General features: G+C 45.9%; 1 annotated feature.

Annotated features, from left to right (window-relative positions):
- Positions 4,958-5,007: a silencer, noted in NCBI's record as "silent region_5045". NCBI's record gives its function as "represses an Ori minimal core promoter by ATAC-STARR-seq in GM12878 lymphoblastoid cells {active_cell/tissue: GM12878}" and the evidence as "EXISTENCE:reporter gene assay evidence [ECO:0000049][PMID:35858748]".

A 13,012-nucleotide genomic window follows, 5' to 3' on the forward strand; every position in this document is an offset into this window, starting at 1 on the left:
CTGGGATTACAGGCGTGAGCCACCGTGCCCGGCCTCTTTTAACTTTCACTGCCCCCACTTATCACTGCTGGAATTGTCCATGTCAAAAGTTCCTTTTGGGCCCAGCGCAGTGGCTCATGCCTGTAATCCCAGCATTTTGGGAGGCTGAAGCGGGCGGATCATGAGCTCAGGAGTTCAAGACCAGCCTGACCAATATCGTGAAACCTCATCTCTACTAAAAATACAAAAATTAGCAGGGCGTGGTGGCACACGTCTGTAATCCCAGCTACTCAGGAGGCTGAGGCAGGAGAATCGCTTGAACCCGGGAGGTGGAGGTTGCAGTGAGCCGAGATCACGCCATTGCACTCCAGCCTGGGTGACAGAGCAGGACACGGTCTCAAAAAAAAAAAGTTCCTTCTGGGCCAGGCACAGTAGCTCATGTCTGTAATCCTAGTGCTGCAGGAAGCCAAGGCAGGAGGATCACTTGAGTCCAGGAGTTTGAGACCAGCTTAGGCAACATGGGGAAATCCCATCTCTACAAACAAACAAACAAAAAAACCCCCCGAAAATTAGCCAGGCGTGGTGACACACACCTGTAGACCTAGCTACTTGGGAGGCTGAAACCAGAGGATCTCTTGAGGCAGGGAAGTCAAGGCTGCAGTAAGCCTTGATTGCACCACTGCACTCCAGCCTAGGCAACAGATTAAGACCCTGTCTCAAAACAAAACAAAACAAACAAAAAGCAATCTGTTCATTCATGAATGATTAATGTATTGAGCATCTACTATGTGTAAAGGCTGAAATGTCCTACAAGGCTGTAGAGTTAAGCGGTCTTTGCTTTGAACCTCCCAATTGCTACATACTTGCTGATTCACAAGCTTGATCAAATTTCCTAATCTCTCCAAACCTCGTTTCCTCACTGTACACTGGGAAAAAGAAAAATATCTGTTTCCCAAGACTGATATAAGGATTGTATAATATAATGCATAAAAGTGTCTAGGATACTATAAGCATCAATGGATGTCGGCTACTATTACAAAGTGTTAAGAAACTTAACTCTTAGATCCCTCATAGAATTGGACAATCTGTTGCTAGGTAACGATGGCCCTTCTCTCTCCACTGGGAAATTATGAAAACAATTACAAGTTATAGCAGAGGTTCTTTTTTTATTTCCCCCAGAGACAGGATCTTGCTCGGTCACTCAGGCTGGAGTGCAGTGACATGAACATAGCTCACTGCAGCCTTGAGCTCAGGGTTCAGGAGCTCCTCCTGCCTCAGACTCCTGAGGAGCTAGGACTACAAGTGCCTGCCACCACGCCTGGCTAATATTTCAAAAATTTTTTGTAGGCCGGGCACGGTGGCTCACGCCTGTAATCCCAACACTTTGGGAGGCCGAGGCAGGTGGATCACCTGAGGTCGGGAGTTCGAAACCAGTCTGGTCAACATGGTGAAACCCTGTCTCTACTAAAAATACAAAATCAGCTGGGCGTGGTGGTGCATGCCTGTAATTCCCAGCTACTTGGGAGGCTGAGGCAGGAGAACTTCTTGAACCTGGGAAGCAGAGGTTGCAGTGAGCCAAGATCACACCATTGCACTCCATCCTGGGCAACAAGAGCCTTTGAAACTCCATCTCAAAAAAAAAAAATTTTTTTTTTTTTTGTAGAGGCAGTGCCTCCCTATGTTGCCCAGGCTGGTCTCCCACTCCTGGCCCCAAGTGATGCTCCTGCCTCAGCCTCCCAATGTGCTAGGGTTACAGATGTGAGCCGCTGTGCCCGGCCGATAGCAGAAGTTTTAAAGTGTGGTCCCAGGGCCAGCCCCACAAGCATCACTTAGAAGCTTTTTAGAGATGCAAATTCTCGACCCACGGATTCAGAAACTTTGAGGGAGGGCTCCAGCATCTGTGTTTTAAAAACCCCTGTAGGTGATTCTAATGCATGCTCAAGTTTGAAACCCAGTGAGTGATAGCAGAGTGTTCAAGAGGCTGACCACGCCTGGCTAATTTTTTTGTATATTTAGTAGAGATGAGATTTCACCATGTTGGCCAGACTGGTCTTAAACTCCCGACCTCAGGTGATCCGCTCGCCTCGGCCTCCCAAAGTGCTGGGATTACAGACGTGAGCCACCGCGCCTGGCACCAAGCAGAATCAGTCTTAAGGTCTTTTGCATGTCGTGGTGCCCTTTCTTGATTTCCCAAGCAGTACACTCAGGATGGCTTCCTTCCTGTTCGCTATGTTATTTTCAGGTCTTGTTATTCTTAAATCATTCGTGGAAACAACAAGGATTTTGGACATTTCCCAGCCTAGTTTAAATGCCTGCGATGCTAGGTCAATGATTTTATCTCAAGCAGTTTAGGGGAAGGAATCTAGCTGCAGGAAGGGTGGTGCCCCGGGCACTGTTTTGAGTCTGTGTTTGCATAAGACAACAGTAAAAAAAAAAAACAACTTTGATTTGTTTATTCAGAGTGATGGGTGGGAGGGCATTATAACTAAAGTTCTCCACTCTCCCCTCCAAGTCAGCCCTTGCTCCACCACTGGAATGCAACAACCCCCTCCTTAAAAGCAGTTAAGGGAATGAAATGAGCTTGGCCCAGGGCCTGGCAGTGAATGCTAAATGTTCCTTTGAGATTCTATTAGTGTGAAACTTCTGTAGAAATATCGGCCTTCCCTAGTGCCCTCCAGATCTCTTGCTTGGTTTGTAAAATGTTTTATAATAAATGTTTAGGTATATAGACTTAGCAGTCCTGGAGATGCACGTATCTGATTACCTTTCAAGAGGCTAACAGGGGCCTAACACGGTGGCTCAAGCCTGTAATCCCAGCACTTTTGTAGGCCAAGGCAGGAGGATTGCTTGAGCCCAGGAGTTCAAGACCATCCTGGCCAACATGGTGAAGCCTTGTTTCCACTAAAGATACAAAAAATTAGCCAGGTGTGGTCGCACACACCTGTAGTCCCAGCTACTTGGGAGGCTGAAGCAGAAGAATCACTTAAACCCAGGAGGTGAAGGTTGCAGCGAGCCGAGATCGAGCCATTGCACTTCAGCCTGGGCGACAGAGTGACACTCTGTCTCAAAAAAAAAAAAAAAAAAAAAAAGCCGTTGCGCAGTGGCTCACGCCTGTAATCCCAACACTTTGGGAGGCCAAGGCAGGTGGATCACAAGGTCAGGAGGTCAAGACCATCCTGGCTAACATGGTGAAACCCCATCTCTACTAAAAATAGAAAAAAAAATGCCGGGCGTGGTGGCAGGTGCCTGTAGTCCCAGCTACTGGGGAGGCTGAGGCGGGAGAATGGCGTGAACCCGGGAGGCGGAGCTTGCAGTGAGCCGAGATCACACCACTGCACTCCAGCCTGGGCAACAGAGCGAGACTCCGTCTCAAAAAAAAAAAAAAAAAAGATATCACCTCACATCCCTTAGGGTGGCTATTATTATTATTATTATTATTTTCTTTTGAGATGGAGTTTTGCTCTTATTGCCCAGGCTGGAGTGCAGTGGCACGATCTCGGCTCACCAAAACCTCTGCCTCCTGAATTCAAGCAATTCTCCTGCTTCAGTCTCCCAAGTAGCTGGGATTACAGGCATGCACTACCACGCCCAGCTAATTTCGTATTTTCAGTAGAGACGGGGTTACTCCATGTTGGTCAGGCTGGTCTTGAACTCCTGACCTCAAATGATCTGCCTGTCTCAGCCTCCCAAAGTGCTGGGATTACAGGCGTGAGCCACCGTGCCCGGCCTAGGATGGCTATTATTTAAAGAAAGAAAAAAAAAAAAAAAGAAAGCTTTGGTGAGGATGTAAGGAAATGAACCACTGGTGCACTGCTGGTGGGAATGTAAAATGGTGAGGCTTCTATGAAAAACACTATGGAGGGTCCTCAAATAATTAAAAGTAGCCAGGCGTGGTGGCTCACGTCTGTAATCCCAGCACTTTGGGAGGCTGAGGCGAGCGGATCACCTGAGGTCGGGAGTTTAAGACCAGTCTGGCCAACATGGTGAAACCCCATCTCTCCTGAAAATACAAAAATTAGCTGGGCGTGGTGGTGTGTGCCTGTAATCCCAGCTACTCAGGAGGCTGAGGCAGGAGAATCTCTTGAACCCAGGAGGCAGAGATTGCAGTGAGCCAAGATGGCATGATTGCACTTCAGCCCAGATGACGGAGCAAGACTCCATCTCTAAATAAATAATAAGTAAATGTAGAATTCCATGTGATCCAGCAATTCCCGTTCTGGGTGTGTACCCAGAAGAATTGAAAACAGGATCTTAAAGAGATATTTGGGCACCCATGTTCATAACAGCACTATTCACAATAGCCAAGAGGTGGAAGCAACCCAAGTGTTTATCAATGGATGAATGGAGAATGTGGTCTGTCTATACAATGGATATAATTCAGCTTAAAAAGGAAGGGAATGGGCCGGGCGCAGTGGCTCACGCCTGTAATCCCAGCACTTTGGGAGGCCGAGGTGGGCGGATCACAATGTCAGGCGATTGAGATCATCCTGGCTAACACAGTGAAACCCCGTCTCTAGTAAAAATACAAAAAATTAGCCGGTTGTGGTGGCAGGCGCCTGTAGTCCCAGCTACTCGGGAGGCTGAGGCAGGAGAATGGCGTGAACCTGGGAGGCGGAGCTTGCAGTGAGCCGAGATCGCGCCACTGCACTCCAGCCTTGGCGACAGAGCGAGACTCTGTCTCAAAAAAAAAAAAAAAAAAAAAGGAAGGAAATGCTGACACACGCTACAACGTGGATAAACCTTGAAGACATTATTTTGAGTAAAAGAAGCCAGTCACAAAAAGACAAATACTACATGATTCTGCGTATAGGAAGTTATACACATATAGGAAGTCATACGCGGAATCATGTCGTATTTGTCATAGAGACAGAAGGTAGAATGTTGGGTGCCAGGGGCTAGGGTGGGGGAAGAAGGAGCTTAACGGGGAGAGAGTTTCACTTTTGCAAGATGAAAGAGTTCCGGAGATTGGTTGCACAATAATGTAAATATACTTAACACTACTGAACTGTACACTGAGAAATGATTAAGATTACAAATTTCATGTTATGTGTTTTTCTTACCATAGTTAAAAATAAAAAAATATGGCTGGGCGTGGTAGCTCATGCCTGTAATCCGAGCACTTTGGTAGGCCAAGGCAGGGGGATCACCTGAGGTCAGGAGTTCGAGACAAGCCTGGGAAACATGGCGAAACCCCGTCTCTACTAAAAATACAAAATAATTAGCTAGGCGTGGTGGCGGACACCTGTAGTCCCAGCTACTCAGGAGGCTGAAGCAGGAGAATCACTTGAACCTGGGAGGCGGAGGTTGCAGTAAGCTGAGATCACGCCATTGCACTCCAGCCTGGGTGACAGAACAAGACTCCAAATCAAAAAATAAAATAATAAATAAATAAATAGATATTTTTTAAAAATTTTAAAAAAAGAGCTTGTGGGTGAGTGCAAGGAGTGCAGTTGCCTCCTCCAGCTGCAGCGCCTTCCATCCTGCTGGGGACACCATTTTCACAGGCAGCCCTCTGTCCATGACTAAGCCCAGCAGGGATACCAGAACCAGGCCATTTCTGCCCAACAAGGGACAACTTTATTGGTGATCTTTACTCTGGAGTAACCCCTTGGGTTGGTCAAGCCTGTGCTGTAGTCTGAGGCCCTTGTTTCCTGACTGCTTTCTCCACTGTTTCCATTCTCAGATGTCAGCCAGCATCAGAGTCCAGGGCTTTCCCTGCCCAATCCTGCTTCGCCTCTCTTTGTGACTCACAGGTCATAAGCCTCCACTAACCCTAGCCCTATGTAGCCCTGACCCTTGCATTACTAACTGGGCCTGACTCTCTGCTTACTGGAGGACCCAACTAACACAAGAAATAGATTGGGGTCCATGCCTCATGCCTGTAATCCCAGCACTTTAGGAGGACTAAAGGAGGTGGGAGGATCACTTGAGTCCAGGGGTCTGAGTCCAGCCTGGGCAATATAGTGAGACACTGTCTCTACAGAAAATGTAAATTTTAGTCAGATGTGGTGGCACGTATCTATAGTCCCAGCTGCTCGGGAGGCTGAAGTGGGAGGGTCATTTGAACCTAGGAGGTTGAGGCTATAGTGAGCCACGATGGCACCACTGTATTCCAGCTTGGGTGACAGATGGAGACTTTGTTTCAAGGGGAAAAAAAAAAAAAAGAAAGAAAGAAAAGAAAAAACACGAATATGTGCTTATTGTAAAAAGTGTGAGATGTTACTAAGCAGTATAATTAGAAGTGAGAGGTCTTCCTCCACACCACCACCATGCTCCCCAAGCAACTACTGTTAACAGTTTGATGTAACCTTCTAGACCTATTACAGTAGACACCAGCATGTCACTGCCAAGCACTTGAAATGTGGTGAGTCCTAATAGAGATGAGCTGTAAGTATAAAAATACATCTTGAATTTCATCTGGGTGTGGTGGCTCATGCCTTCAATCCGAGCACTTTGGGAGGCCAAGGCGGGGTATCATGAGGTCAGGAGTTCGAGACCAGCCTGGCCAAGATAGTGAAACCCTGTCTCTACTAAAAATACAAAAATTAGCTGGGCGCGGTGGTGGGCACCTATAATCCCAGCTACTCAGGGGCTGAGGCAGCGGAATTGCTTCAACCCGGGAGGCAAAGGTTGCAGTGAGCCGAGATCGTGCCACTGCACTCTGGCCTGGGTGACAGACCAAGATTCCTTCTCAAACAAAACAAAACAAAACAAAACAAAACAAAACAAAAACTTGACTTTCGTCTGGGCGTGGTGGCTCACGCCTGTAATCCCAGCACTTTGGGAAGCCAAGGCGGGCAGATTACCTGCGGTCAGGAGTTCGAGACCAGCCCAGCCAACATGGCAAAACCCTGTCTCTAATAAAAATACAAAAATTAGCCGGGTGTGGTGATGTGTGCCTGTAATCCCAGCTAGTTGGGAGGCTGAGGCCGGAGAATCGCTTGAACCCGGGAGGCGGAAGTTGCAGTGAGCTGAGATTGTGCCACTGCACTCCAGACTGGATGACAGAATGACAGTCTGTCTCAAAAAAAAAAAAAAATCTTCTATTTCTTTTTTGTTGTTGTTTTGAGACACCAAGGCTGGGATGTAGTGATACAATCTCAGCTCACTGCAATCTCGACCTCCTGGGCTCAGGTGATTCTCTTGCGCCACTTTCCCGAGTAGCTGGGACTACTGGCACATGAAACCACGCCTGGCTAATTTTTTTGTATTTTTTATAGAGATGGAGTTTCACCATGTTGCCCAGGCTGGTCTTGAACTCCCGGACTCAATTGATCATCCCACCTCAGCCTCCCAAATTGCATTGCTGGATTTCTAAGACAGCACCAAAAAGAGAAAATAAACGATCTCACTAATAATGTCTCTACTGATTGCCATGTTGAAACAATGCTTTGGATATTTTGGGATAAATAAAATACTTGTTGAAATTAGTTTCTTGTGTTTCTTTCTACCTTTTCAATGTGGCTACTAGAAAATACAATGCCACATGTGGCTCACCCTTGATTTCTTTTCTTTTTCTTTTTTTTTTGAGATGGAGTTTCGCTCTTGTTGCCTAGGCTGGAGTGCAATGGCACAATCTCCACTCACCACAACCTCTGCCTCCCAGGTTCAAGTGATTCTCCTGCCTCGGCCTCCTGAGTAGCTGGGATTACGGGCATGTGCCACCACTCACGGCTAATTTTGTATTTTTAGTAGAGACGGGGTTCCTCCATGTTGGTCAGGCTAGTCTCGAACTCCGGACCTCAGGTGGTCCGCCCGCCTCGGCTTCCCAAAATGCTGGGATTACAGGTGTGAGCCACTGTGCCTGGCCAAGCTCACACTTGATTTCTATGGAACAGCACTGTCCTACACCATGCTGACAGGACACTACAGTGGTGAAATGTTCTGTACCTGCACAGTCCAGACACCTGCAGTGTCTCAGGCCTGTGATTATTATAATACATCATTTTGCAATGCTGTGAAGAGAGAATTGCTTGAGGCCAGGAGTTCAAGACCAGCTTAGGCAACATAGTGAGATGCAATCTCTACAAAAATGATAAATATTAGGCCAGGCGCGGTGGCTCATGCCTGTAATCCCAGCACTTTGGGAGGCCAAGGCAGGCGGATCACGAGGTCAGGAGATTGAGACCATCCTGGCTAACACGAGGAAACCTCGTCTCTACTAAAAATACAAAAAATTAGCTAGGCGTGATGGTGGGCCCCTGTAATCCCAGCTACTCGGGAGGCTGAGGCAGGAGAATGGCGTGAACCCGGGAGGCGGAGCTTGTAGTGAGCCGAGATTGCACCACTGCACTCCAGCTTGGGCGACAGAATGTTACTCTGTCTCAAAAAAGAAAAAAATACAAATATTAGCTAGGTATGGTGGCACATGCCTATAGTTGAGTTAGAGGTCACAGTGAGCTAAGATCCGGCCACTATGCTGCTGTACTCCAGCTTGGGTGACTGAGCAAGACCGTGTCTCAAAAAAAAAAAAAAAAAAAAAGGCCGCTTATGCCTGTAATCCAGCACTATGGGAACCTAGGTAGGAGGATGGCTTGAGCTCAAGAGTTGGAGGACCAGCTGGGCAACATAGTGAGAACTTCTCTCTACTAAAAAAAATTAATTGGGTGTGGTGGCATGAGCCTATAGTCCCAGCTACTCGGGAGACTGAGGCAAGAGGGTCACTTGAGTCTGGGAGGTTGAGGCTGCAGTGAGCCATGATTGTGCCACTGCACCCCAGCCTGGATAACAGAGCAAGACCTTGTCTCAAAAAAAAAAAAAAAAAAGGATAGCTGGGCACAGTGGCTCATGCCTGTAATTCCAGCACTTTGGGAGGCTGAGGTGGGTGGATCACCTGAGGTCAGGAGTTTGAGAACAGCCTGGCCAACATGGTGAAAGCCGGTCTCTGCTAAAAATATAAAAATTAGCTGGGTGTGAGAGGCTGAGGCAGGAGAATTGCTTGAACATGGGAGGCGGAGGCTGTAGTGAGCCAAGATCGCGTCATTGTACTCCAGCCTGGGTGAGAGAGTGAGACTCTGTCTCCAAAATATATAAATATATATATTAATATATATATAAATATACATATAAATATATATATAAAAATATATATAAATATATATAAATATATATATTTATATATATAAATATATATATAAATATATATATATAAATATATATATTAATAAATATATATATTAATATATATTTATATATAAATATATATAAATATATATATATAAATATATATATAAATATATATATAAATATATATAAATATATATATAAATATATATATAAATATATATATAAATATATATATAAATATATATATAAATATATATAAATATATATATAAATATATATATAAATATATATAAATATATATATAAATATATATATAAATATATATAAATATATATAAATATATATATAAATATATATATAAATATATATAAATATATATAAATATATATATATTTATATGGTAGCCACTAGCCACATGAGGCTATTAAGTGCTGGAAATGAGGCTGGTACAACTGAGAAGCTAAGCCTGTATTTATTTATTTAAAACTTTAAGTTTTTTGTAGACATGGGATTTTGCTAAGTTTCCCAGGCTGGTCTTGAATGCCTGCACTCAAGTGATCCTCCTGCTTTGGCGTGAGCCACCGTGCCTGGTCTAATTCTTTTTTTTGTTTTGTTTTTCTGTAGAAATGAGTTCTCACTATGTTGCCTAGGCATGCTCTACTTTCTGGGGAGAGGAGTTATCTCCATAAGTTATTTGCAATTTTGCGTGGAAGATTTGCCTCTTCTCCCCACTTTATTTATTCAATCACTTATTTATATCAGTAGGGACTGGTGGATATTTATTTATTTATTTTGAGATGGAGTTTCGCTCTTGTTATCCAGGCTGGAGTGCAATGGCGGGATCTCGGCTCACTGCAACCTCCGCCTTCCGGGTTCAAGTGATTCTCCTGCCTCAGCCTTCTGAGTAGCTGGGATTACAGGTGCCCGCCACCACGCCCTGCTAATTTTGTATTTTTAGTAGAGACGGGGTTTCTCCATGTTGGTCAGGCTGGTCTTGAACTCCCGACCTCAGATGATCCGCCTGCCTTGGTTTCCCAATGTGCTGGGATTACAGGCATGAGCCACTGTGCCTGGCATTTTTTTTTGTTTTGTTTTTCCTGAGACGGAGTTTCGCTTTTGTCGCTCAGGCTGGAGTGCAGTGGCACGATCTCTGCTCACTGCAACTCCCTGCTCCCCGGTTCAGGCGATTCTCCTGCCTCAGCCTCCTGAGTAGCTGAGATTACAGGCACCCTCCACCACGCCCGGCTAATTTTTTGTATTTTTAGTAGAGACAGGGTTTCATCATGTTGGCCAGTCTGGCCTCGAACTCCTGACCTCACATGATCCACCCTCCTTGGCCTCCCAAAGTGCAGGGATTACAGGTGGGAGCCACCGCACCTGGCCTGATATTTATTTTATTATTATTATTTTTTGAGACACAGTCTCACTCTGTTGCCCAGACTGGAGTGCAGTGGCGCAATCTCTGCTTACTGCAACCTCTGCCTCCCAGGTTCAAGCGATTCTCCTGCCTCAGCCCTGTGAGTAGCTGGAATTAACAGGCGACTGCCACCATGCCCGGCTAAGTTTTGTATTTTTAGTAGAGACGGGGTTTCACCATGTTAGCCAGGCTGGTCTCAAACTCCTTGAGATCAGGGTGGTCCGTCTGCCTCGGCCTCCCAAAGTGCTGGGATTACAGACGTGAACCACCGTGCCTGGCGGATATTTATTTTATGTTTTGGGTTATAATCCAGTACCACTTAATTTACAGTATTTTGTTGCTCATACTGTTTCCACTCTGGCCATTAGGAGTCCTTTCAGTTGGTTCAGCACTCCCTGTGACATCATCATCATTGGTGGGGTGTTTCATTTTTAGCACTACCTTACTTTCTGGTACTACAAGTTGCTTCAAGATCATCTTGTGTATTTCTATTTATTTATTTATTTACTGAGACAGAGTCTCGCTCTGTTGCCCAGGCTGGAGTGCAGTGGCGCGATCTCAGCTCCCTGCAACCTCTGCCTCACAGGTTCAAGCGATTCTCCTGCCTCAGCCTCCCGATTAGCTGGGATTACAGGTGCCTGCCACCACGCCTGGCTAATTTTTGTATTTTTAGTAGAGACGGGGTTTTGCCATGTTGGCCAGGCTGGTCTCAAACTCCTGACCTCAGGTGATCCGCGCCCACCTCGGCCTCCCAAAGTGTGGGATTACAGGTGTGAGCCACCGCACCTGGCCTATTTATTTATGTTTTGAAACAGAGTCTTGCTCTGTCGTCCAGGCTGGAGTGCAGTGGGGCAATCTCTGCTCATCACAACCTCAGCCTCCTGGGTTCTAGTGATCCTTGCACCTCAGGGTCCCAAGTAGCTGGGACCACAGGCGTGTGCCATCACACCTGGCTAATTTTTGTATTTTTATTAGATACCCGGTTTTGCCATATTGCCTAGGCTTGTCTTGGACTCCTGACCTCAAGCGATCTGCCTGCCTCGGCCTCCCAAAGTGCTGGGATTACAGGCGTGAGCCACCATGACTGGGCGAATTTTTTATTTTTTATTTTTTTGAGACAGGGTCTCGTTCCAGCTGGAGTGTGATAGCACCATCTCAGTTTACTGCAGCCTCAAGCTCCTGGGCTCAAGCGATCCTCCCACCTCAGCCTCCTGAGATGCTGGGAGTACAGGCGTGCACCATCAGGCCTGGCTAATTTTATACTTTTTGTAGAGACGGGGTTTCACCATGTTGCCCAGACTGGTCTTGAACTCCTGAGTTCAAGTGATCCACCCGCCTCAGCCTCCCAAAGTGCTGGAATTACAGGTGTGAGCCACTGCACCCAGGCTTCTTGTGTATTTTTTTGTCCCAGTTCTAGAGTCAGCTATTTCTCCAAGGAGCACTGGTTACTTTCATTGGAGAATGATATCAGAAACCAAGATCCGGGTGCTAGGTTATGCTTATTGCTACCAGGGTACACAGACATTTTAATGTATGTGTAACATAAAATTTACCTTTTCCACTGTACTTTCATTTATTTATTTATTTATTTTTGAGACGGAGTTTGCTCTGTCGCCCAGGCTGGAGTGCAGTGGCGTGATCTTGGCTCACTGCAACCTCCGCCTCCTGGGTTCAAGTGATTCTCCTGCCTCAGCTTCCTGAGTAGCTGGGATTACAGGCACGCGCTATGACACCTGGCTAATTTTTGTATTTTTAGTAGAGATGGGGTTTCACCATGTTGGCGTGGCTGGTCTTGAACTTCTGGCCTCAAGTAATCTGCCTTCCTTGGTCTCCCAAAGTGCTGAGATTATAGGCGTAAGCCAACGTGCCTGGTTCTTTTTTTTTTTTTTTTTTTTTTTTTTGAGATGCAGTCTCGCTGTGTCGCCTAGGCTGGAGTACCATGGCGCAATCTCGGCTCACTGCAACCTCTGACTCCCAGGTTCAAGCTATTCTCCTGCCTCAGCCTCCCAAGTAGCTGGGATTACAGGTGCCCGCCAGCACACCCAGCTAATTTTTGTATTTTTAGTAGAGATGCGGTTTCACTATGTTGGCCAGGCTGGTCTTGATCTCCTCACCTCGTGATCCTCCCAACTTGGCCTCCCAGTGTGCTGGGATTACAGGCCTTAGCCTCCTCGCCCGGCCAGTCTGTTTTAACTATTAAATAACATTAGGTAGATTCACATTGTTGTGAAACCATCTGTACTATCTATTTCCAGAACTTCTTCATCATCTCAAATTGAACCTCTGTATCTGTTAAACAATACCTCGCCATCTTCCTAACACCCACAGCAGCCCCTGATAACCACTGCTGTACTTTCCAACCATGAATTTGACTATCCTAGGTCCCTCATATAAGTGGAACCATACAGTATTTGTCCTTATGCTTCTTTCACTTAGCATGGTTCATCCATGAACTACGTTCATTCATGATGTTGTAGCAATTAGAATTTCATTTCTTTTTAAGGAGAAATAGTATTCCATTGCATGTACTGTACATACCACGTGTGTGTG

Source organism: Homo sapiens, chromosome 12, assembly GCF_000001405.40.
Source record: "Homo sapiens chromosome 12, GRCh38.p14 Primary Assembly".
In the NCBI taxonomy this organism is placed as follows: Eukaryota; Metazoa; Chordata; class Mammalia; order Primates; family Hominidae; genus Homo; species Homo sapiens.